This window comes from Homo sapiens, chromosome 19 (genome assembly GCF_000001405.40).
Source record: "Homo sapiens chromosome 19, GRCh38.p14 Primary Assembly".
NCBI lineage: Eukaryota > Metazoa > Chordata > Mammalia > Primates > Hominidae > Homo > Homo sapiens.
The window spans coordinates 2996716-3021948 of record NC_000019.10 but is presented as its reverse complement, the minus strand read 5'-3'; the positions used below and the strand labels follow the sequence as shown (position 1 = coordinate 3021948).

At 53.6% G+C, this 25233-nt stretch overlaps 1 protein-coding gene across 6 annotated transcripts in view, besides 3 other annotated features; it reads left to right on the top strand.

Moving 5' to 3' along the window:
• Window positions 1-24305, top strand: part of TLE2 (TLE family member 2, transcriptional corepressor) — a 49992-nt gene extending 25687 nt beyond the window's left edge. For 2 of the 6 annotated variants that reach the window (NM_001144761.2, XM_006722864.3), the window contains 14 exons: window positions 2176-2250; window positions 2483-2666; window positions 4090-4109; window positions 6189-6296; window positions 7335-7379; window positions 8131-8280; window positions 10789-10927; window positions 12247-12407; window positions 13004-13080; window positions 15280-15529; window positions 15981-16228; window positions 16365-16512; window positions 19446-19596; window positions 23994-24305. In NM_001144761.2, coding sequence (NP_001138233.1) covers window positions 2176-2250; window positions 2483-2666; window positions 4090-4109; window positions 6189-6296; window positions 7335-7379; window positions 8131-8280; window positions 10789-10927; window positions 12247-12407; window positions 13004-13080; window positions 15280-15529; window positions 15981-16228; window positions 16365-16512; window positions 19446-19596; window positions 23994-24025 — 1788 coding nt within the window. In that variant the 3' untranslated portion in view covers window positions 24026-24305. Of the gene's footprint in view, window positions 1-2175; window positions 2251-2482; window positions 2667-4089; window positions 4110-6188; window positions 6297-7334; window positions 7380-8130; window positions 8281-10788; window positions 10928-12246; window positions 12408-13003; window positions 13081-15279; window positions 15530-15980; window positions 16229-16364; window positions 16513-19445; window positions 19597-21225; window positions 21303-23993 lie in introns of all 6 variants that reach the window. The other 4 variants (NM_003260.5, XM_011528230.2, NM_001300846.2 and 1 more) reach the window with 4 other exon arrangements.
• Window positions 14594-14791: a silencer, noted in NCBI's record as "fragment chr19:3007156-3007353 (GRCh37/hg19 assembly coordinates)". NCBI's record gives its function as "represses an EF-1alpha promoter that drives an FKBP-Casp9 reporter gene in an ReSE screen in K562 erythroleukemia cells {active_cell/tissue: K562}" and the evidence as "EXISTENCE:reporter gene assay evidence [ECO:0000049][PMID:32094911]".
• Window positions 14900-15834: an enhancer, noted in NCBI's record as "H3K27ac-H3K4me1 hESC enhancer chr19:3006113-3007047 (GRCh37/hg19 assembly coordinates)". NCBI's record gives its function as "activates a minimal SCP1, AML or CMV promoter by ChIP-STARR-seq in primed H9 embryonic stem cells {active_cell/tissue: H9 hESC(primed)}" and the evidence as "EXISTENCE:reporter gene assay evidence [ECO:0000049][PMID:30033119]".
• Window positions 18622-18768: a silencer, noted in NCBI's record as "fragment chr19:3003179-3003325 (GRCh37/hg19 assembly coordinates)". NCBI's record gives its function as "represses an EF-1alpha promoter that drives an FKBP-Casp9 reporter gene in an ReSE screen in HepG2 liver carcinoma cells {active_cell/tissue: HepG2}" and the evidence as "EXISTENCE:reporter gene assay evidence [ECO:0000049][PMID:32094911]".

Below are 25233 nucleotides of genomic sequence, written 5' to 3'. Positions count from 1 at the left end.
CAGGCATGAGCCACTGCGCCCGACCTGAAATCTATTAAGTTAATTTTATATTTAAATTTATATTTAGGCTGGGCGCAGTGGCTCACACCTGTAATACCAGCACTTTGGGAGGCTGAGGGGGGCAAATCACTTGAGATCAGGAGTTCAAGACCAGCCTGGTCAACATGGTGAAACCCCGTCTCTACTAAAAGTATGAAAATTAGTTGGGTGTGGTGGTGCGCACCTGTAATCTCACCTACTTGGGAGGCTGAGGCAGGAGAATTGTTTGAACCTGGGAGGCGGAGGTTGCAGTGAGCCAAGAGCATGCCATTGCACTCCAGCCTGGGCAACAGAGTGAGACTACGTCTCAAAAAAGTAAAAATAAAAATAAGCCTATTAAATTTATTTTATATTTAAACTTGTATTCACTTAAATTTAATAAAATTAATCATTCTATTCATCAGTTGCACCAGCCACATGTCAAATGCCTGGTGGCCACACACATGGCCAGTGGCTTCTGTGTGGAACAGCAAAAATACAACATTTTCTTTCTTTCTTTTTTTTTTGAGACTGAGTCTCGCTCTGTCACCCAGGCGGGAGTGCATGGCACGATCTTGGCTCACTGCAATCTCTAACTCCCGGGTTCAAGTGTTTCTCCTGCCCCAGCCTCCCGAGTAGCTGGGATTACAGGTGCATGCCACCATGCCTGACTAATTTTTGTATTTTTAGTAGAGATGGGGTTTCACCATCTTGGTCAGGTTGGTCTCGAACTCCTGATCTCGTGATCCACCTGCCTCAGCCTCCCAAAGTGCTGGGATTACAGGTGTGAGTCACCACGCTCAGCACCCCCCCCCCTTTTTTTTTTTTTTTTTTTTTTTTTTGAGACTGGGTCTCACTCTGTCTCCCAGGCTGGAGTGCAGTGGTGCAATCTTGGCTCACTGCAACCTGTGCCTCTTGGGTTCAAGTGATTCTCCTGTGTCAGCCTCACGAGTAGCTGGTATTATAGGCACCCGCCGCCACGTCTGGCTAATTTTTTTTGTATTTTTAGTAGAGATAGGGTTTCACCATGTTGGCCAGGCTGGTCTTGAACTCCTGACCTCAAGTGATCCACCTGCCTTGGCCTCCCAAAGTGCTGTGATTACAGGCATGAGCCGCCGCGCCCGGCTCAGATATAACATTTTCTCGCAGCAGAGTCCCACAGCTCTGAAAGCTGAATATGCTGCCGCCACCCACCACATCATGGAAGAAGCTTAAAATGTTATGCTGAGAGGCCAGATGCCAAAGAGAACTCAGAGAATGAGCCCACAACGTAGTTGAAAACGGACAAATCCACGCAGGTTTAGGAAGGCGATCGTAGGAGGCAGAATTATACAGAAAAACAAAGAAATTATTGTCATGAAGGTGGAGGAGGGAGGGTGTTCTGATGGCAGGGAGTGTAGGGGGCCCCTGGAGTCTGGTACTTTCTGTTCCTTAACCTAGGAGAAGGGTCCATGGTGCCGATTTATCACAGTGTTTTTTTTTTCTTGGGGGTAGTTTTACCACCAGGAGACGTCTGTGGTTGTCACAACTGGGGGTGCCCCTGGCATGGAGTGGGTGGAGGCCAGGGATGCTGCTCGGCTCCTTGTAGTGCCTGGAACAGCCCCGCCCCAGAGAACAATCCAGCCCCAGATGTCTTTGGTTCTTCGATGCTCCAAAGGAGAGACTGTGATTTGTAATATATATATATTTTTTCTTGAGACAGAGTCTCGCTCTGTCACCCAGGCTGGAATGCATTGGCACGATCTCGGCTCACTGCAACCTCCACCTCCCGGGTTCAAGCGATTCTCCTGCCTCAGCCTCCTGAGTAGCTGGGATTACAGGTGTTTCACCATGTTGGCCAGGCTGGTCTCGAACTCCTGGCCTCAGGTGATCTGCCCACCTCAGCCTTCCAAAGCGCTGGGATTCCAGGCGTGAGCCACCATGCCCGGCCTGATTTGTAACTATTCTACCTGCACTTAGGTTTGGTTTCTTTCTCCGTGTGCTTATTTCAAAATTCCAAAAGGAAAGGGAGAGAGTGAGAGGGAAAAAGATAAAAGAGAAATGGGAAGTACCGGGGCAAAGATGAGAGGGTGGCGGGGAGAGGTCAGGTCCCCAAGGGCACCGCTAGCATGAGCAGGGGCTCAATGTACCCTCTACCTGATCCCTTCCACCCGCCAGCATCAGCAGCAGGTGCTCCAGGCCGTAGAACGCGCCAAGCAGGTCACCGTGGGGGAGCTGAACAGCCTCATCGGGGTGAGTCTCTCTAGCCCCTGCCCCGCCATGGGGAGACGCCCACTCCCAGGTCCCTGGCACCCACCCAGGAGGTGTTAAAGCTGGGGTGGTGTGTGGGCCTTGGCTCCAGTGGTCCTGGGAACCCCAGGGGCACATGCTGTGCTTAGGTCCCATCCCCTGTGTCTACCTCTTGGGCTGGGGACCGCTGGGCTCCTGCCGCCCCCCGCCCCGGCCCATCCTGCCTCCTTTCTAGCAGCAGCAGCTCCAGCCGCTGTCCCACCACGCACCCCCTGTGCCCCTCACCCCCCGCCCAGCCGGGCTGGTGGGCGGCAGTGCTACGGGGCTGCTTGCTCTGTCTGGAGCCCTGGCTGCCCAGGCTCAGCTGGCGGCGGCTGTCAAGGAGGACCGTGCGGGCGTGGAGGCCGAGGGGTCCAGAGGTGAGTGGGCAGCACGGGGTGGCATTGGCTGGGGAGACGGGGCTGGGGAGGACGACTGGCAGTCCAGGGTAGCAAACATCAGCGTGAGGGGATGAAGTGGCTCATGCCTATAATCCCAACAATTTGGGAGGCCGAGGCGGGAGGATCGCTTGAGCCCAGGAGTTCATGACCAGCCTGGGCAACAGAGCGAGACCCCGTCTCTACAAAAATTTAAAAATTTGCTGGGTGGGATGGTGCACACCTGTATTCCCAGGTACTTAGGAGGCCGAGGCAGGAGGATCACTTGAGGCCGGGAGTTAGAGGCCAGCCCAAGCAACATAGCAAGACGCCATCTCTATGAAAAATTTAAAAATTAGTCAAGCACAGGCTGGGCATGGTGGCTTATGCCTGTAATCCCAGCACTTTGGGAGGCCGAGGTGGCTGGATCACCTGAGGCCAGGAGTTCGAGAGCAGCCTGGCCAACATGGGAAAACCCCATCTCTACTAAAAATACAAAAAAAATTAGGCAGGAGTGGTGGCGGGTGCCTGTAATCTCAGCTACTCGGGAGGCTGAGGCAGGAGAATCGCTTGAACCTGGGAGGCGGAGGTTGCAGTGAGCCAAGATTGTGCCACTGTACTCCAGCCTGAGTGAGAGAGTGAGACTCTGTCTCAAAAAAATTAAAATAAATAAATAAATAAATAAAAATAGATAGCCAGGCACGGTGGTTCACGCCTGTAATCCCAGCACTCTGGGAGACCGAGGCGGGCAGATCACCTGAGGTCAGGAGTTTGAGACCAGCCTGGTCAACGTGGTGAAACCTTGTCTCTACTAAAAATACAAAAATTAGCTGGGCATGGTGGTGGGTGCCTGTAATCTGAGCTACTCGGGAGGCTGAGGCAAGAGAATTGCTTGAACCTGGGAGGCAGAGGTTGCAGTGAGCCAAGTCCAGCCTGGGCGACAGAGTGAGACTCTGTCTCATTCATAAATAAATAAATAAATAAATAAATGCCAAGCATGGTGGCATGCCCCTGGAGTCCCAGCTACTCGGGAGGCTGAGATGGGACAATCACTTGAGCCCGGGAACTCGAGGCTGCAGTGAACTGTGACTGGGCCACTGCACTCCAGCCTGGGCAACAGAGCAAGACCCCAACTCGTAAAGTGTGAGGGGATCAATGAGAGCGGCTGCAAGGCCCTGGGGTTCAACATCACCCCCAATGGGCTGTGTGTCTTGAGGCAAGTCACTATCCCTCTCTGGGCATTGATCTGAATGCAGGGGAGGGATAATCCACCACTTGCAAGGGTGTTGGAAGGGTAGAGAGACTCTGAGTGGGGTGGTGGGGGCGGGGGGCTTTATAAACTGGAGGGCTGTACCCTCTGGCGCCGTGGATACAAACGCCTCATTCTTTCTCCTTCTTTCTCTTTATCCCATTCCCAATCTGTCAGTGGAGAGAGCCCCGAGCAGGGTAAGTGAGTGGCACCCTGGGACTCTTTTTATATTCTTGGGAGGCCAACGCTGGTTCTGAGCTGATGGGGGCCTCAGAATGAGACCTAGGTCGATCATGGTGGCTCACGCCTTTGATCCCAGCACTTTGGTAGGCAGAGGTAGGAGAATCATTTGAGGCCAGGAGTTTGAGACCAGCTGAGCAACATGGCAAAACCCCGTCTCTACAGAAAAATACAAAAAGTTGGCTGGGTGTGGTGGTCCATGCCTGTTGTGTCAGCTACTCGGGAGCCTGAGGTGGGAGGATCACTTGAGCCCAGAAGGCCAAGGCTGAAGGGAGCTGTGATCGTGCCACTGCACTCCAACCTGGGTGACAGAGTAAGACCCTGTCTCAAAAAAAAAAAAAAAAGAAAGAAAGAAAAAAAAAAACCAGGCCAGGTGCGTGCCTGTAATCCCAGCACTTTGGGAGGCCAAGGTGGGCAGATCACTTGAGGCCAGGAGTTCAAAAGCAGCCTGGCCAACATGGCAAAACCCTGTCTCTACTAAAAATTCAAAAATTAGCCAAACGTGGCGGCGGGTGCCTGTAATCCCAGCTACTCGGGAGGTCAAGGCAGGAGAATCACTTGGACCTGGGAGACAGAGGTTGCAGTGAGCCGAGATTGCACCACCGCACTCCAGCCTGTGCGACAGTATGAGACTCTGTCTCAAAAAACAAACAACAGCAACCACAACAATAAAAAAACAAGATCCATAGCCCGGTTTCCTGAAGCCTTTCTGTGTGGGAGATACCCAGAAGGCTGTAGTGTTTAAAACCCCAGTACTTTGGGAGGCCAAGGTGGGTGGATCACTTGAGGTCAGGAGTTCGAGACCAGCTTGGCCAACATGGCGAAACCATATCTCTACTAAAAATACAAAATTAGCTGGGTGTGGTGGTGGGCGCCTGTAATCCCAGCTACTCTGGAGGCTGAGGCAGAAGAATGGCGTGAACCCGGGAGGCGGAGGTTGCAGTGAGCCGAGATTGCGCCACTGCACTCCAGCTTGGGCGACAGAGCGAGACTCCATCTCAAAAGAAAAAAAAATTTCAACCTCCAGCTTTTTTCGGGTAATTAAATAAATGAATGCATGACCTTGGACCCTTCTTCCCATCCTCACTTCCGTTCGCCTAGCCATCAGCCGTTCAGCAATATCTGTGGGTGCTCCCCAACAGAAATGTCATGTGAGCTGTGTCAGTAAGTTTTTCAAAAAATGGTTTAATTTTTTTTTTTTTTTTTTGAGACTGAGTCTTGCCCTGTCGCCCAGGCTGGAGCGCAGTGGTGCAATCTCGGCTCACTGTAAGCTCCGCCTCCTGGGTTCAAGTGATTCTCCTGCCTCAGTCTCCCAAGTAGCTGGGACTACAAGTGCCCGCCACCATGCCCGGCTAATTTTTTTTTTTTTTTTTTTTTGTATTTTTAGTAGAGACGGGGTTTCACCGTGTTAGCCAGGATGGTCTCAATCTCCTGACCTTGTGATCCGCCCGCCTCGGCCTCCCAAAGTGCTGGGATTATAGGCGTGAGCCACTGCGCCCGGCCAAAATGGTTTAATTTTGAAATAATTATAGATGTCAGAGAGGTTGCAGAAGAAGTAAGGCGCTGGTTGCGGTGGCTCATGCCTGTAATCCCAGCACTTTGGGAGGCCGAGGCAGGTGGATCACCTGAGGTCAGGAGTTCGAGATAGGCCTGGCCAACATGGCGAAACCCTGTCTCTATTAAAAATACAAAAATTAGCTGGGCGTGGTGGTGGCGCCTGTAATCCCAGCTACTGGGGAGGCTGAGGCAGGAGGATCGCTTGAACCCGGGAGGCGGGGGTCTCAGTGGGCCGAGATGGCTCCACTGCACTCCAGCCTGGGCAGCAGAGCAAGACTCCGTCAAAAACAAAACAAAACAGAAGAGAGAACAAAACCTTAGCACTGAGTCAGCCGTTGGAAGCTCCCATTTCCCAGATGGGAAGCTTGAGGTCCGGACCCTAATAATGGTGGGGGACCCTCAGTCTCGGCTGGATCACAATGCAATCTAGGAGCCCAGGGCCCTGACCCTTTCTCCCCCCGGCCTTTGTCTCTCCGCAGAGTGCATCTCCCTCGCCCCCTGAGAGTCTCGTGGAGGAGGAGCGACCGAGTGGCCCTGGTGGTGGCGGGAAGCAGAGAGCAGATGAGAAGGAGCCATCAGGACCTTATGTGAGTGGGGGCAGGTGCAGGACTGGGATGGGCGTGCATGGCCCAGACCAGCCTGGCCCCTCAGAGCCTTCCAGAGCCCAGCTCTGGCCATAATTCTCTCACTCCGGAGCCTCCCATAGCTCCCTACTACTCAGAGTACTGACCAATCAGAGGAGATCCTGTAATGCAAGGCTTAACTCCAGTTGCTTGAAGTCTCTGCGGCCTCTTGGCCGTACAGCCATTTTCCCACCCTCTAGCTTTTGCTCCAGCTGTTTTCTTTCCCTAGAACACACATGTTTTAGAAACCCATTTTTCTATCAAGAAACAAAGTGCCACCTCCTACAAGAAGCCTTCCCTGACCACCTCCTAGAGGCTGGGACCTCCTCTCATTGCCAGACGGCTGCACACTTGTAGTTTCCAACTCTAGCATCCCAGGGGCCAGGCCGAATGTGGGGAATGGGGCTGTGGCCAGCTGGGGAGCCCCTTCTCCCACCTACAGGGGCAGCTGCAACTTGATCCCCGGAGACTGGCAGGCTCAGGGTGGGCCAATATTGCTGTTTCTCAGAGAAGCCTTAAATCTTCCTTTTTACCTAATAGCTTTTTTTTTTTTTTTTTGGCAATGAATTTTATTTATTTATTTATTTATTTATTAAGGTGGAGTCTTATTTTCTTTGGCAATGAATTTTATTTATTTATTTATTAAGGCGGAGTCTTTATGAAGGCGGTAAGGATGATTGCTGGTCTCTGGCTCTCCCCTCACCATGCAGAGGGGTAAACTGAGGCCTGAGAGGGCCGGGAGTCACACAGGGCACTCATGTAGTCCACATCCTTCAAAGTCCTCTCCACAAGGTGCCCACCTGCCCTGCCTCCCCACATCCTTCCCGGATGCGGGCACGTGCAGCCTTCCCTTCTGCTATGAGCAAACGGGTGCAGTGGTCTGAGAATCCCAGTCATGCCCCAGGGCTGGCTGGGCTCATGCCTCCAACTCCTGAGGAGCGGATAGGGGGTGTGGAGGCAGGGGCATGACCACAATGAGCTCTCTCCCCCATCTTCCCCCAGGAAAGCGACGAAGACAAGAGTGATTACAATCTGGTGGTGGACGAGGTGAGTCCAGGGGTCCAGCCTCTTCCCCGACTCTGGGCACAGAGCAAGGGGTGGGTTTTCTGGACTGGGAGGACCCAGAGGTAGTGGGGATCCTGGTTCCCCGCTCTGTGGGACAGCTGGGATGGGGTCAGGAAGCGTCAGGGACTCCGGGACACCTCTGGCCGACCTCCTCTCCACTGCACAGGGAGTGACTTCAAGCCCAGGTTCACTGAGTGATTTGTGGGCAGTGACACCCCCTTCCCTGGCCTCACTTTTCCCCATCTGTTCAATGGGAAAATAAAACCAAGCCTTTATATAGTCCTCGCTATGGGTGCTTATGGAGTAGAGCCTATCATTAAACCCATTTTACAGGCCGGGCGTGGTGGCTCACACCTGTGATCCCAGCACTTTGGGAGGCTGAGGCGAATGGATCACTTGAGGTCAGGAGTTTGAGACCAGCCTGACCAACATGGTGAAACCTTGTCTCTACTAAAAATACAAAAAAATTAGCTGGATGTGCTCGCTTGAACCCAGGAGGCGGAGGTTGCAGTGGGCCATTACTCCAGCCTGGGTAACGGAGCGAGACTCAAAAAAAAAAAAAATACATTTTACAGATGAGTAAACTGAGGCAGCAGAAGATTTCATAATCTTCCCATGGTGGGTCATGGGTACCCATTCTAGAGATTGGGGTGGGAGTCGGGAGGAGGATAGAGAAGGGACTCTTCTTTCCCTCTCATTTCAACTCTGCTCAACGTCACCTCCTCAAACCCAGGACCAACCCTCAGAGCCCCCCAGCCCGGCTACCACCCCCTGCGGAAAGGTACCCATCTGCATTCCTGCCCGTCGGGACCTGGTGGACAGTCCAGCCTCCTTGGCCTCTAGCCTTGGCTCACCGCTGCCTAGAGCCAAGGAGCTCATCCTGGTAAGGAGGAGGGGAGGGCCTTGAAACTCACTTTATTCATCCCGGGGGCCCCGAAGCAGACGCTACCCCATGATGCAGAGGGCAGTGATGAGAAATCAGCCAGCCGGGCTGGCATTGTCCACCCTTTCCCTGTGCTTTTTTTTTTAAACCTCCTGCTTGGACTGACTTTGTTGAACCTCAGTAAATATTAAAAGGCAACTTTGTAAAGAAGCTTTGTAGATAAATTTTAAAAGGCAATTCACTACCTTACATGGAAAGCAGGTCTCTCTCTTGCAATCAATAGGAAATCCCATGGAAATAAACATAGTGAAAGCCCAGCCAGCTAGGCTGGACTCAGGCCTGCATGTGTTGAGCCCTTCCAGAGGCGCTTAGAGACACACCGGCCCCAAGCTGAGATGTTGTCCCCGGAAGGAAAGATAATTAATATAGGAACAAGTTTTCAGTTGGACCTCCTGGAGTTTAATGCCAGGCATGTGAGCCATCTAAAAGCACCCCCAGGGCATTAGAAATTCAGCTCCTTTTGCAGCTCCCCTCACCCCAAATCTTCTCCAGACCCCTCCCCTACACTTACCAGGGAAGAGTATGTCGGTTTCTAGGCCTCCCCTCCCGGTTTCAAGGCCTCCCTTCCTGGCAGGTTACCATGGCAACCGCCAGAGGTTGGGGCTCCCATTCCATCTTAAGTGCCCACCTCCCACTGCGGGAAAAACCTTACAAGGGGATGGGTCAGCTCCGTTGTATTGGAGAAGCCCTCAGGGGTCCTCCCTGACCCCACAGTCGTCCCATCCACTCTCTCGCGGGTGCCGGTGTTGCGTGGCTGTCACTGTTTGTGCGATGGTGTCATGGGAAGCCGAGACAGACGCAAGACAAGGATGCGAAGTTTCTTGGGAGGCAGGGGAGGCAGGGGAGGCGATGACATGAAGCCGAGATAACAGAGCCTGCCCCTAGATGGAGGTCCAGCTGCTGCTTTCCTCAGAGCTCTCCTTGGGGAGGGACAGCTCTGGGTGACACCTCCCTCTCTGTGGGGGCTCAAGGAGGATTGCAGTGTGTGCTAGGCACTCTTCCTTCACCTGGGAATATGCCGCTGTGGGGTCTGCCTCTCCACGAGCCCATCCCGGAGTTTCTAATTCCTTGTTGTTCAAGAATCTCAACAGTGGCTGGGTGCTGTGGCTCATCCCTGTCATCCCAGGGCTTTGGGAGGCCAAGGCAGGACGATCACTCGAGAACAGGAGTTGGAGACCAGCCTGGGCAACATAGTGAGACCTTGTCTCTATGAAAAATTTAAAAAGTTAGCCGGGCATGGAGTCGTGTGCCTGTAGTGCCAGCTACTTGGGAGGCTCAGTCGGGAGGATCACTCGAGCATGGGAGGTTGAGGCTGCAGTGAGCTATGATCGTGCCTTTTGTTTGTTTTTCGTTTTGGAGATGGAGTCTCGCTCTGTCACCCAGGGAGGAGTGTGGTGGCGCAATCTTGGCTCACTGCAACCACTGCCTCCCAGGTTCAAGAGATTCTCCTGCCTCAGCCTCCCGGGTAGTGGGTAGCTGGGACTACAGGCACGTGCCACCACGCCTGGCTAATTTTTTGTATTTTTAGTAGAGACGAGGTTTCACTGTGTTAGCCAGGATGGTCTAGATCTCCTGATCTCAGGTGATCCGCCCACCTTGGCCTCCTAAAGTGCTGGGATTACAGGCGTGAGCCACAGCGCCTGTCTGATCATGTTAGTTTTGAGAGCAAGACCCTGTATTAAAAAAAAAAAGAATTGCAAATCTTGACAGCCTATAACTTTGTAACTTTGTTGCCTTTTTTTTGTTTTGTTTTTTGTTTTTGTAGAGTTTTGCTTTTGTTGCCCAGGCTAGAGTGCAATGGCGTGATCTCGGCTCACTGCAACCTCTGCCTCCCGGGTTCAAGCAATTCTCCTGCCTTAGCCTCCCAAGTAGCTGGAATTACAGGCATGCGCCACCACGTCCAGCTAATTTTGTATTTTTAGTAGAGATGGGGTTTTCACCATGTTCGCCAGGCTGGCCTCAAACTCCTGACCTCAAGTGATCCACCGGCCTCGGCCTCCCAAAGTGGTGGGATTACAGGCGTGAGCCACTGCGCCTGGCCTGTTGTTGTTTTGAGACAGAGTCTTTTTTTTTTTTTTTGAGATGGAGTCGCTCTGTCTCCCAGGCTGGAGTGCAGTGGCGTGATCTCGGCTCACTGCAAGCTCCGTCTCCCGGGTTCATGCCATTCTCCTGCCTCAGCCTCCCAAGTAGCTGGGATCACAGGCACATGCCACCACGCCCGGCTAATCTTTTTTTGTATTTTTAGTAGAGATGGGGTTTTACCATGTTGGCCAGGCTGGTCTCGAACTCCTGACCTCAGGTGATCCGCCCGACTGGGCCTCCCAAAGTGCTGGGATTACAGGTGTGAGACACTGCGACTGGCCGCCCCCAACCCCAGTTTCTGATCAGATCGTTGGGCCACAAGACACCAGGTGCCTGGTGGCCTTCAGTCCTGCCCTTTCTCTGCAGAATGACCTTCCCGCCAGCACTCCTGCCTCCAAATCCTGTGACTCCTCCCCGCCCCAGGACGCTTCCACCCCCGGGCCCAGCTCGGCCAGTCACCTCTGCCAGCTTGCTGCCAAGCCAGCACCTTCCACGGACAGCGTCGGTGAGCACCTTGCCTGTTGGTGCCTGTCTGGAGCAGGCCTCGTCTCTGGGGAGATCTAGGAAAAGGGGCTGGAGAGGCAGAATGCTGGGATTCCAGGCTTGGTGTTCATTGCCTTGGTCCTTTTTGTGACTTCAAGTTAGACGCTGCCTCCCTCTGGGCAGTTCCTCATTGTGTCAGCTCGGCGGGTAGGGAAACTGAGGCCTGGAGAGTGGAAGCGGCTTAGTCGGGGGTTTCAGCCTAGTGCACTGGAAAGACAATCTTTGGGGCCAGACAGACTTGGGTTTCAGACCAGGCTTGGGCATTCACCAGCTGGGTGACCTCGGGCAAGTGACCCAACCTCTCTGAGCCTCAGTTTCCCCATCAGTAATCTGAGGAATGACAGTGCTCATCTTTTCTGCCTTATGGTCAGGCCCTGGGCTGGTTCTGGGGCCCCTGAAAGAAGCTGGCCTTGGAATCTGCCCTCAAGGAACTCCCAGGTGGCAAAAAGGGACAGGACCCAGACCCCAAAACTCACAGCCCTGTATAGTCAGGGCTGGTACCAAGGCAGGTACCCAAGATGGGCAGGGCTGGAGGTTGGCAATGGGGAGGCTCAAGGATGTTTCTGAGATGTTAATGGACATTGGGCCTGGGTTTTGTTTTTTTTTTTCCTTTTTTTTTGAGACGGAGTTTCACTCTTGTTACACAGGCTGGAGTGCAATGGCACCATCTCAGCTCACTGCAACCTCCCGCTCCCAGGTTCAAGCAATTCTCCTGCCCCAGCCTCCTGAGTAGCTGGAATTACGGGCATGCACCACCATGCCCAGCTAATTTTTGTATTTTTAGTAGAGACCAGGTTTCACCATGTTGGTCAGGCTGGTCTTGAACTCCTGACCTCAGGTGATCCGCCCACCTCGGCCTCCCAAAGTGCTGGGATTACAGGCGTGAGCCACTGTGCTCGGTGGGCCTGGGTTTTGAAGGATGGATAGGAGTTTGCCAATTAAAAGAAGGAGAATGGCCATAGTCCCAGCTACTCAGGAGGCTGAGGCAGCAGAATTGCTTGAACCCAGGAGGCAGAGGTTTCAGTGAGCCGAGATCGCGCCACTGAACTCCAGCCTGGCGACAGAGCAAGATTCCATCTCAAACAAAAGAAAAAAAGAGAGAGAGAAAGTCGTGTCCACTGGAGGAACGATAGTGCAGAGGTCTGGAGGTGTCCCAGGCTATGGCCAATGTGGAACCAGCACATGGAAACTCTAAATGAAAGGCCAGGGAGCTCCCAAGGCAGTGGGAGGCGGGATCTGGGTCCAGGGCGTCAAAACCTGTCCCCGACTCTTCCGTCTCAGCCCTGAGGAGCCCCCTGACTCTGTCCAGTCCCTTCACCACGTCCTTCAGCCTGGGCTCCCACAGCACTCTCAACGGAGACCTCTCCGTGCCCAGCTCCTACGTCAGCCTCCACCTGTCCCCCCAGGTCAGCAGCTCTGTGGTGTACGGACGCTCCCCCGTGGTGAGTCCTTGGGTGGGGGCGCAGGAGGTGTCAGCAGGGCCCAGGGGCTGGGGGCCGGGAGGAGAAACCAACTACACAAGGAGAGACAAGGGAGTGCAGAAAGGGAAGGGAGCCCTGGCTCAGCAAGTATGCATGGGAAGACAATCTGGGGGTCTCAGTAGTCCCACAAGCTTAATACAAAGCAAGACTTCTGATTGTGGAAAAACGCAACAGCGATTAAGCTGCATGAAGAGGAGCAGTAGGGCCTTGGCCTCGGGACACTGTTTACAAAAACAGGCAGTGGACCAGATTTGTCCTGGGAGGGGCTGGAGTTTTCAGAACCCTGGCCTAGAGCCAGTCTGGGCATTGGATGGAGAACCCTTCAGGATCCTTGGAACCGTGGAGTTCTAGGATTTCCTGGATAGAGATTTTGGTGTCGGTGTGCTCAAGTGAAAACCTCAGCCCTCTCATCTGTAGTGTGACAGGCAGAGAGAAGGCATCTCTGCTGCCTTGGGGAGGGGTGATAAACAGAGAGGGGTATGGCAGGTGGGCGTGGGGTGGCACAGAGGTGGGTTGGAGTCACCTGCCTCACTGACACCCCCCTGGCATTCTCACAGATGGCATTTGAGTCTCATCCCCATCTCCGAGGGTCATCCGTCTCTTCCTCCCTACCCAGCATCCCTGGGGGAAAGCCGTGAGTACCAGGGTGGGGCTCCCTGCCTGGGGTCCCGGGCCAGCCCCCCACCTCCTCTGAGGTCTTACCCTCTGTGGTTGGGGTCTCCCTGCTTCCCTTCTAGAAAGTCTCTTGTGTGGGCCGGGCACAGTGGTTCACTCCTGTAATCCCAGCACTTTGGAAGGCTGAGGCAGGTGGATCACTTTAGGTCAGGAATTTAAGACCAGCCTGGCCAACATGGCAAAACCATGTCTCTGCTAAAAATACAAAAATTAGCCGGACGTGGTGGCGGGCACCTGTAATCCCAGCTACTCGGGAGGCTGAGGCAGGAGAATCACTTGAACCTGGGAGGTGGAGGTTGCAGTGAGCTGAGACCGTGCCATTGCACTCCAGCCTGGGCAATAGAGCGAGACTCAGTCTCAAAAAAAAAAAAAGAAAAAAGAAAAAAAGTCTCTTGCATAAGCTACTCAGAGTTCCACTGGCTCTCCATAGAAGTAGACTCTGACCCCCCAGGGGACACTGGGCGATGTCGGGGGACACGTGTGGTTGTCACAGCTGGGGGAGGAGACGTTCCTGGCCTGGAGTGTGGAGGCCAGGGATGCTGCTTAGCATCCTGCATTGTCCAGGATGGCTCCACCAGAGGAGATCTGGCCACAGTGTCCACAGAGCTTTCTGCAGTGATGGAAGTGTTCTAGACCCACTGCTGGCCAACCCAGTCGCCACCAGCTGGGCGTGGCTTTCAGTACTTGAAATGTGGTCAGTGCAACTGAGGAGCTGAAAAGTTTTGTTTTGTTTTGTTTTGTTTTCTGAGACTGAGTTTCGCTCTGTCCCCCAGGCTGGAGTACGGTGGTGAGATCTGAGCTCACTGCAACCTCCACCTCCTGGGTTCAAGCGATTCTCCTGCTCCAGCCTCCTGAGTAGCTGGGATTACAGGCACGGACCACCGCCGGCTAATTTTTGTATTTTTAGTAGAGACAGGGTTTCACCATGTTGGCCAGGCTGGTTTTGAACTCCTGACCTCAAATGATCCACCCACCTTGGCCTCTCGAAGTGCTGGGATTCCAGGTGTGAGCCACTGTGCCGGCCTGAAAATGTTTATTTAATTTCAGTTCATTTAAGTGTTTTAACTGGTCACAGGTGGCCGGGGCTCCTAGGACAGACCCTCTAGCTGGTCTGGAACACTCAAGGTTTCTTTGTGGGTCCTCGGTTGAACGAACATTTATTAAGTGCTTGTTTACCATGCGCCACACCACAACCTAGACTCCCTGTGTATTTGTGCCACCCACTGACTGTCCCATATCACCTTTGACCACATTGTCCTGCCTTTTTCCTAAATCAGAGGCCGAGCACCATGGCTCACTCCTGTAATCCCAGTGCTTTGGGAGGCCAAGGCGGGAGGATCACTTGAAACCAGGAGTTTGAGGCCAGCCTGGGCAACATAGCAAGACCTCATCTCTACAAAATAATAACAGAGAAAATTACTTTAAAAAATGCATCAGAGGCTGGGCCCGGTGGCTCATGCCTGTAATCCCAGCATTTTGGGAGGCCGAGGTGGGAGGATCATTTGAAGTCAGGAGTTTGAGACCAGCCTGAGCAACATGGTGAAAGCCCATCTCTACTAAAAATACAAAAAAATTAGCCAGGCGTGGTGGCCTGCACCTGTAATCCCAGCTCCTTGGGAGGCTGAGGCAGGAGAATCACTTGAACCCCGGAAGCAGAGTTTGCAGTGAGTCCAGATCACGCTACTGCCCTCCAGCCTGGGTGACAGAGCGAGACTCCATCTCAAAAAAGAAACAAACGCATCAGGCTGGGCATGGTGGCTCACGCCTGTAATTCTAGCACTTCGGGAGGCCGAGGCGGGCAGATCACTTGAGGTTAGGAGTTCAAAACCAGCCTGGCCAACATGGTGAAACCCTGTCTCTATTAAAAATACAAAAAACTTAGCCAGGCATGGTGGCGCATGCCTGTAATCCCAGCTACTCGGGAGGTTGAGGCAAGAGAATCGCTTGAACCCAGGAGGCAGAGGTTGCAGTGAGCTGAGATCGGGCCACTGCACTCCAGCCTGGGCGACACGGCGAGACTCCCTCTCAAAAAACAAAACAAAAAATAAAAAACACATCAGAGGGTGCCAGGCAGGACAAAGGCGTCTCCCTGCCCTCCCAGGTGCGGGTGCGGGGGCGTGGTGCCCAGGGCTGGGTCATGCCCCGGCTTTCTCTCCAGGGCCTACTCCTTCCACGTGTCTGCGGACGGGCAGATGCAGCCGGTTCCCTTCCCCTCGGATGCACTGGTAGGCGCGGGCATCCCGCGGCACGCCCGGCAGCTGCACACGCTGGCCCATGGCGAGGTGGTCTGCGCGGTCACCATCAGCGGCTCCACACAGCATGTGTACACGGGCGGCAAGGGCTGTGTGAAGGTGTGGGACGTGGGCCAGCCTGGGGCCAAGACGCCCGTGGCCCAGCTCGACTGCCTGGTGAGGGCGGGGTGGGACAGTGGGCGGGACTCACAGGTGAGGGGTGGGGCTTATGTTCCAATGGGGCGGTGTTCGCAGGCTGGCCGTGGGTGGGGCTACAGGTGAAGGGCGGGGCTTATAGGTGAGGGGCGGAGCTCGTAGTCGCATGGGACAAGGCTTGCAGGCCAAAGGGGTGGGGCTCTGGCCAATCTGAATTGGACTTGCAAGACAATCAGGACAGGGTTTGCAGGCCAACCATGGGTGGGGCTTATAGGTAAAGGATGGAGCTTATAGTCAGATGGGGCAGTGTTTGCAGGTCAAAGGGGCGGGGCTCACCAGCCAATCAGGGTAGGGCTTGCAGGCTAATCAGGATGAGGCTACATTGGGCTCCAGAGACCCCCACGTTGAGCTAGGCTCCTAGAGACCTCACCTGGGACCAACCCCCAGCCCCTGCTTCTCTCCCCGACCCCAGAACCGAGACAACTACATTCGTTCCTGCAAGTTGCTGCCGGATGGCCGGAGTCTGATCGTGGGCGGTGAGGCCAGCACCTTGTCCATTTGGGACCTGGCGGCGCCCACCCCCCGTATCAAGGCCGAGCTGACTTCCTCAGCCCCAGCCTGCTACGCCCTGGCCGTCAGCCCCGACGCCAAGGTTTGCTTCTCCTGCTGCAGCGATGGCAACATTGTGGTCTGGGACCTGCAGAATCAGACTATGGTCAGGTGGGTGGCAGGTGCGCTGGGACCTTGGGCAAGCCCCCGGCCGCTCTCGGTGCAGGGGGAGTGGAGGAGTGTGACCTGGGACGATGCTGGGGCAGCTCGAATTCCAGGATGGACGCCTGGGCCCTTCTCCCTCCAGGCAGTTCCAGGGCCACACGGACGGCGCCAGCTGCATTGATATTTCCGATTACGGCACTCGGCTCTGGACAGGGGGCCTGGACAACACGGTGCGCTGCTGGGACCTGCGGGAGGGCCGCCAGCTGCAGCAGCATGACTTCAGCTCCCAGGTGCTGTTCGGTTCTGGCAGGAGGGGGATGGAAGCTCTAGGAATACAGCATCCCTTCCTCTCCTTGTGAGGTGCCCACTTCCAGAGGCAGGACAGGACAGGACTCCCATCTGCTGTGGTGTCCATCTTTCTTGTCCCCCAGACACATCCACAGGCTTCCCCTGTAACTCTCTAAAGATGTAGGGGAACACAAAAGAGCTGATTCATAGGAAGCTGTGGGGCTACTGAGACCCCCAGATCATCTTCCCCACCTGCTTTTGTCCAGCCATACCCTTATATGTGCCTTTCCTCGTGTAGCTGGGTGGTTCTTCTAGCCTTTAATCTCTGGACGCCGCCGAGAGCGCGGGACACACACTTCCCAACTGAGGACTAACCATGGGGGAGCTACTGGCCAGGAGGACAGAGTGGAGGTTGATGTAGGAGGAGCTGGGCATGGAGAGATCCCCATTGAAGGTGGAGTCTAAGCTGAAGGACATGGTGAACAGGCTGGACAGAGCTGGGGGCTCCTCAGGGCTGGGCAAAGAGAGTGAATCTTCAGGCACCGTGACCCCAGATCCTGCCTCTCACTGCTTTGGGGGCAGCTGTGAGCTCCTTCTTCTGTCATTCAGGGTTTCCATGGGCTGGTCTCATGCACACCATACTCCGGGACAGCTCTGAGGCCTCTGCACATTTGTTCCCTGTGGCTGAAATGCCTTTCTCTTCTTTCTGTAATTGGCAAACTCCTATTCATCCCTCAAGACCCATCTCATTTGCCCCTCCTCCTTGAAACCTAAGAGGAGCTAACTCCTAACTCCGAAGCTCCTCTTTTTTTTTTTTTTTTTTTGAGACAGAGTTGCTGTGTTGTGATCTCAGCTCCCTGCAACCTGCGCCTCCCAGGTTCAAATGATTCTTGTGCCTCAGCCACCTGAGTAGCTGGGACTACAGGAACGCACCACCATGCTCGGCTAATTTTTGTATTTGTCGGTAGAGACAGGGTTTCACTGTGTTGTCCAGGTTGGTCTTGGATTCCTGGCCTCAAGTGATCCACCTGCCTCGGCTTCCCAGTGTGGGAATTACAGGCCTGAGCCACCGCGCTTGCCCTCCCAAGCTCTTTATGTCCAACCTGCTCTTCTCTTTCAGGAGTGCAGGTGGACACAGCTCTCCATCCCGTGGCCCCGAAGCTTAGGTGGGCTAAGAACATTTCTAGGGATCCCATGGTGAATATCTCCTAGCTCACTGGGTGTCCCCCAATGCGTCTTTACACAGAAACACTTCTGTATGGCCAGGAGAGGACATTTGAAGCCCTCCAGTCTTCTCTTCTGCAAATGTGTGGTTATTTCCACAGGCATCTTGTTAGTGAGACTCCAAGAGGTTTGGGGTGGAACAGAGCCTGATTCCTGTTTGTGCTTAAAATGAGGTGGAGGACCCTGAATCTTTTAAAAATCAAACCGAGGCCGGGTGCAGTGGCTCACGCCTGTAATCTCAGCACTTTGGGAGGCCGAGGTGGGTGGATCACTTGAGGTCAGGAGTTCGAGACCAGCCTGACCAACATGGAGAAACTCCATCTCTACCAAAAATACAAAATTAGCCAGGTGTGGTGGCACATGCTTGTAATCCAAGCTACTTGTGAGGCTGAGGCGGGAGGATCACTTGAGCATGGGAGGAGGTTGAGGCTGCAGTGGGTCATGATTGCACCACTGCACTCCAGCCTGGGCGACAGAGCAAGACCCTGTCTGTCTCAAAAAGGAACATTCCAAGCTAAGAGTGAGAAGTTCTGTCTCCTAGGCCTGGTCTGTCTTATTTTTTTTGTTTTTTGTTTCTGAGACAGAGTCTTGCTCTGTCACCCAGGCTGGAGTGCAGTGGTGCAATCTCAGGTCACTGCAACCTCCACCTCCCAAGTTCAAGCGATTCTCCTGCCTCAGCCTCCCGAGTAGCTGGGATTACAGGTGCCTGCAGCCACGCCCAGCTAATTTTTGCATTTTTAGTAGAGATGGGTTTTCGCCATGTTGGCCAGGCTGGTCATGAACTTCTGACCTCAGATGATCCGCCCGCCTCGGCCTCCCACAGTGTTGGGATTACAGGCCTGAGCCACAGAGCCCGGCCAAGGCCTGGTCTTTCATAGTCTTGCTCTGTGACCTTGAGGGGACACTGCCTCAGCTTCCATCATCTGCTTAAGGGGAGTGATTGTCCTTGCCTGGCTGTTCCCTTCTCTGTCCCTCCTCCCTCCTCTCTCCCTCCTCCCTGTGCTGTTGTGCGCTCAGAGCAGATAATGGATGTGCAGCCCTAGGGTTCTGTGTAATTCTGATTAATATTAATGATTCGACATGCAGTTGTCTGCTGTGTTCCCAGTCCTGGGCCAGCTGCCTTTCTCTAGGGGGGTGCTGAAGAGGGAGAATGTTGGACTCCACCCCCGCAACCCCTGATGGTGCTGGGCACCCCCCAATATCCAAAGGGGCTCGTAGGCTGACATGGTGGCTCACACCTGTAGTCCCAGCACTTTGGGAGGCCGAGGCGGGCAGATCACTTGAGGTTGGCAGTTTGAGACCAGCCTGGCCAATACGGTGAAACGCCGTCTTTACTAAAAATACAAAAATTACCCGGGCGTACTAGCAGGTACCTGTAATCCCAGCTACTTTGGAGGCTGAGGCAGGAGAATCCCTTGAACCTGGGAGGCAGAGGCTGCAGTGAGCTGAGACTGCAACATTGCACTCCAGCCTGGGTGACACAGTGAGACTCTGTCTCAAAAAAAAAAAAAGATTATCCAGCGTGATGGTGCATGCCTGTAGTCTCAGCTTCTGGTGCTGAGGCAGGAGGATCTCTTGAGCCCTGGAGGTCAAGGCTGCAGTGAGCCATGATTGTGCCACTGCACTCCAGCCTGGGTGACGGAGTGAGACCCTGTCTCAACACAAAACAAAGAGGGGCTCGTGACCCCATCTCTTCCCTCTTTACCCCCAGATTTTCTCCCTGGGCCACTGCCCTAACCAGGACTGGCTGGCGGTCGGAATGGAGAGTAGCAACGTGGAGATCCTGCACGTCCGCAAGCCGGAGAAATACCAGCTGCACCTCCACGAGAGCTGCGTGCTGTCCCTGAAGTTTGCCTCCTGCGGTGTGTCTTCTGGGGCGGGGTGGCACGCCCTCAAAACCCCAACAAAACCCAGGGTGCCTATTCAATCTGAATCTTAGATAAATAACAAATAATGTTATTTATATACTAAGTTTTATATACTCAAAAGCAAATCGTTAGTACAAGTATATCCCAAATGGTGTGTGGGATATACTTATACTAAAAACCAAATAATGAAGTATTTGGGATATACCTGTCCTAAAAATTACTGATGACTTATCTGAGATTCAAATTTAAGGCTGGGTGTGGTAGCTCACGCCTGTCATCCCAACACTTTGGGAGGCCAAGGCAGGCAGATCACCTGAGGTCAGGAGTTCGAGACAAGCCTGGCCAACATGGTGAAACCCTGACTCTATTAAAAGTACAAAAATTAGCCAGGCGTGGTGGTGGGCGCCTGTAATCCCAGCTACTTGGGAGGTTGAGGCAGGAGAATTGCCTGAACCCGGGAGGTGGAGGTCGCAGTGAGCCAAGATCATGCCACTGCATTCCAGCCTGGGAGACAAGAGTGAGATTCTATCTTAAAAAAAAAAAAAAAAAAAAAAAGAAAGAAAAGAAATTTAAGCCAGGCACAGTAGCTGATGTGTGTAGTTTCAGCTACTTGGGAGGCTAAGGCAGAAGGATCGCCCAAGACCAGGAGTTCAAGACCAGCCTGGGCAACATAGCAAGACTTTCTCTACAAAAAAATTAAACAGCCAGTAGGTCGCACCTGTAGTGCCAGGTACGAGGGAGGCTGAGGCAGGAGGATTGCTTGAGCCCAGGACTTTGAGGCTGTAGGGAGCTATGATGACATCACTGCCCTCCAGCCTGGGCAATACAGTGAGACCCTATCTCTTTTTAAAAAAAAATCATTCATTAGTGTAAGTATATCCTAAATAGTACATGGGATATCTTATACCAAACAAACAAACAAACAAAACTTGGGCTGGGCACAGTGGCTCACACCTGTAATCCCAGCACTTTGGTAGACCACGGTGGGAGGATCGCTTGAGGCCAGGAGTTTGAGACCAGTCTGGGCAGCATAGTGAGATCCCAACTCTACAAAAAATATTTTTTTTTTTTTTTGAGACAGAGTCTGACTGCGTTACCCAGGCTGGAGTGCAGTGGCGCAATCTCAGCTCACTGCAACCTCTGCGTCCTGGGTTCAAGCGATTCTCAAGCCTCAGCCTCCCAAGTAGCTGGAGTTACAGGTGCCTGCCACAATGCCCAGCTGATTTTTGTATTTTTAGTAGAGAAGGGGTTTCACCATGTTGGCCAGGATGGTCTCAAACTCCTGACCTCAAGTGACCCAGCCACCTCTGTCTCCCAAAGTGGGGATTACGGGTGTTAGCCACTGCCCCCGGCAAAAAATAAAAATATTAGCTGGGCGTGGTGGTGCACACCTGTGGTCCCAGCTGCTTGGGAGGAGCGCTTGAGTCCAGGTGGTGGAGGCTGCAGTGAGCTATGATTGTACCACTGCACTCCAGCCTGGGTGACAGAGCAAGACCCTTTCTTGGAAAAAAAAAAAAAAAAAGGGAGAGGCCAGACCCAGACCCAGCTTCCCCGACCTCCCCCTGCAGCCCGGGTCTCTCGTTAGTGCCCCCTCCTTGAACCCTGCTGCTCTCCTTCCCCAAGGACGGTGGTTTGTGAGCACCGGGAAGGACAACCTGCTCAACGCCTGGAGGACGCCGTACGGGGCCAGCATTTTCCAGGTACTCGGCGGTCTGGAGCCCCCACTCTGGCAGGGCCATGTGCCCGGGTATGCCAGGGTCAGACAGAGAGATTGCCCCTGTCCCTGTCCCCCAGGTCCCCCCGCCACCCTAACCCCTCCTCAGGGTCCTGCAAGCCTCCCTACCGCCCAGGTACTAAAGCAGAGGTTGGAATTTCAGCCGGAGGCCTCGCCTCATCTGCCCGTAGCCTGTTGGTTTTTCTAAAATTTAGTTGCAGTAACATGCATATAATATTATAAAATTTAAAATTTGCCAGCCGGGCACGGTCGCTCATGCCTGTAATCCCAGCACTTTGGGAGGCTGAGGCAGGCGGATCACGAGGTCAGGAGATCGAGACCACCCTGGCTAATATGGTGAAAACCCGTCTCTACTAAAAAAAATACAAAAAAATTAGCCAGGCGTGGTGGTGGGCGCCTGTAGTCCCAGCTACTCGAGAGGCTGAGGCAGGAGAATGGCATGAACCCAGGAGGTGGAGCTTGCAGTGAGCTGAGATCGCACCACTGCACTCCAGCCTGGGCGACAGAGTGAGGCTCTGCCTCAAAAATAAATAAATAAAAATAAAATTTGCCATCTTACTCATTTCTTCTTTTTTTTTGGAGACAGAATCTTGCTCTGTCTCCCAGGCTGGAGTGCAGTGTTGCGATCTCGGCTCACTGCAAGCTCCACCTCCCGGGTTCAATCGATTCTCCTGCCACAGCCTCCCGAGTAGCTGGGATTACAGGCATGTACCACCACGCCTGGCTAATTTTTGTATTTTCAGTAGAGAGGGGGTTTCACCATGTTGTCTAGGCTGGTCTCAAACTCCTGACCTCAGGTGATCTGCCTACCTTGGCCTCCCAAAGTGTTGGGATTACAGGCGTGAGCCACTGCGCCCAGCTGTTTTTCTTTCTTTTTTTTTTTTTGAGATGGAGTCTCACTCTGTCACCCAGGCTGGAGTGCAGCGGCACTATCTCTGCTTACTGCAAGCTCTGCCTCCTGGGTTCACACCATTCTCCTGCCTCAGCCTCCCGAGTAGCTGGGACTCCAGGTACCCGCCACCACACCTGGCTAATTTTTTGTATTTTTAGTAGAGACGGGGTTTCACCGTGTTAGCCAGGATGGTCTTGATCTCCTGACCTCATGATCCACCCGCCTTGGCCTCCCAAAGTGCTGGGATTACAGGTGTGAGCCACCACACCCAGCCTGTTTTTCAAATTTTATATCCCCATCAGCAGTGATTGAAATTTTAAAATTCTCTGCATCCTCACCAACACTTGTTATTGGCTGTCTTTTTAATATGCCCGTCCTGGTTGGTACAGTGTTTTTAATATGCCCGTCCTGGTTGGTACAGTGTTTTTTTGTTTTTTTGACACGGAGTCCTTCTCTGTCGCCCAGCCTGGAGTGCAGTGGCGCAATCTCAGCTCACTGCAGCCTCCACCTCCTGAGTTAAAGCGATTCTCCTCCCACAGCTTCCCAAGTAACTGGCATTACATGTGCCCGCCACCATGCCTGGCTAAGTTTTGTATTTTTAGTAGAGACGGGGATTCCCCACGTTGGCCAGTCTGGTCTGGAACTCCTGACCTCAGGTGATCCACCTGCCTCGGCCTCCGGAAGCGCCGAGCCACCGTGCCAACCCTTTATATTTTCAAAGGGTTGTAAGAAAAAAATCCCAGAATATGTGACATGGACTTATTTAGACTTTAGGCAAAGCCTAAAATGTTTACCAGGCCCTTTGTGAAGTTTGCTGATCCCTGGTCTAAGCCATTGCCTTGGCCCTCTGCTGTGCTGTGTGACATCATGCCTGGTGCACACCCACTCTGAGCTTCCAGAAAGGGCAGCACTTCAGTTCCATCTCTCTTGGTATTGAGGGAATGGAGGCCCTGTTCTGCCCATTGGACTTAGCTCCAAAGCACCTGTCTGTAGAAAACAAGTCGCTCTGCCGGGCGCGGTGGCTCACGCTTGTAATCCCAGCACTTTGGGAGGCCTAGGCGGTGGATCGCCTGAGGTCAGGAGTTTGAGACTAGCCTGGCCAACATGGGGAAACCCAGTCTCTACTAAAAATACAAAAATTAGGCCGGGTGCGGTGGCTCATGCGTGTAATCTCAACACTTTGGGAGACCAAGGCAGGCGGATCACCTGAGGTCAGGAGTTCAAGCCCAACCTGGCCAACATGGTGAAACCCTGCCTCTTCTAAAAATACAAAAATTAGCCAGGCATGGTGGCATGCACCTGCAATCCCAGCTGCTTGGGAGTTCGAGACAGGAGGATTGCCTGAACCTGGGAGGCGGAGGTTGCAGTGAGCAGAGATCACACCATTGCACTCTAGCCTGGGCAACAGAGTTAGACCCTGTCTCACAAAAAAAAAAAAAAATTACACACACACACACACACACACACACACACACACACACATTGGCCGGGCGTGGTTGCGGGCGCCTATAATCCCAGCTATTTGGGAGGCTGAGGCAGGAGAGTGTCTTGAACCCGGGAGGTGGAGGTTGCAGTGAGCCAAGATCGCACCACTGCACTTCAGCCTGGGCGACAAGAACAAAACTCCATCTCAAAAAAAGAAACACGTCACTCTGTAGGCGAGTCCTGACCTCCCGTTCCTGACTCCGCCCCAGCCTTGCCCACACACCCATCTGTGGGGACCATGCCTCACTGTGCCCTTTTCTCTCTCCCTTCCCTTGGCAGTCCAAGGAGTCGTCCTCAGTCCTGAGTTGTGACATCTCCAGAAATAACAAATACATCGTGACAGGCTCGGGGGACAAGAAGGCCACCGTGTATGAGGTGGTCTACTGAGACATGACCCCCCTTCCTGTACCCGAAGTCCAGACTCCCAGGGGAATCAGCAGCCAGGACAGACATCCTAGCAGCCGCCTCCCAGCCCTGCCTAGGAACCGTACATCCCATCTGCTCTCTGGCCAACGGCTTCACACCTTCCCCTGCTGCATGTGGGGGCCGATGGGCAGGGGACCTCGGTGGAAATAAAATGTATCTATCACATCCGCACTTCTCTCTCGGGCTGGGGAACCGGTGATCATTGTTCCTCTTGGGCACGGTTACTGGGAGGCAACCATGTCCTGGGGATGGGGTCATACGTAACGAGAATTCTTTCTGCAGGATATTCAGAGGTGTCTGCCTGGTATGTGAGAGCCACTCTGAGACACAGGAGTTGCGCTGGGCAGGATCGTTAAGATGCTGTTGCGTAACAAGTAGTCCCCGAGTCTCAGGGTTCATGCATTTTTTCCTTGCTCATACCCACATGGTGTACGGGGCTCTACTCCAGGTAGTCACTCAGGCCTCCGGGTAGAAATTTTTTTGAGACAGTCGCACTCTGTCTCCCAGGCTGGAGAGTACAGTGGTACGATCTCAGCTCACTGCAACCTCTGCCTCCTGGGCTTAAGCAATTCTTCTCCCTCAGCCTCCCGAGTAGCTGGGATTACAGGAACACCACCACACCCAGCTAATTTTTGTATTTTTAGTAGAGACAATGTTTCTCCATGTTGACTAGGCTGGTCCCAAACTCCTAACCTCAGGTGATCCACCCACCTCGGCCTCCCAAAGTGCTGGGATTACAGGCGTGAGCCACTGCACCTGGCTAGATTCCAAGGATTTCTAAGAGCCCTGCGCATGGCAAAGGGCTGAGCAAACGTCCCTGCCCAGTGGAGGGGAGGGGTACACTGAGCACTAAGGGATGAGAAACAGCCCCCAGAGCCCTGAGAAGACTGTTCTGGAAAGAGGAGAATGGCGGATGCGATATCTCAGAGGCAAGGGGAACTCGGCCTGGTGGTTACCCAGAAGACAGCCAGGTTCTGGAGAACGAGGCCTGCAGACAAGGCTTCAGTGGGGAGCGGGGAGAGTGGGGGGCAATCAGCCCCGTGTTCTGGAAGCTCAGGTGGGCTACCACGTACAGCAAGGGTTAGGACCGGTG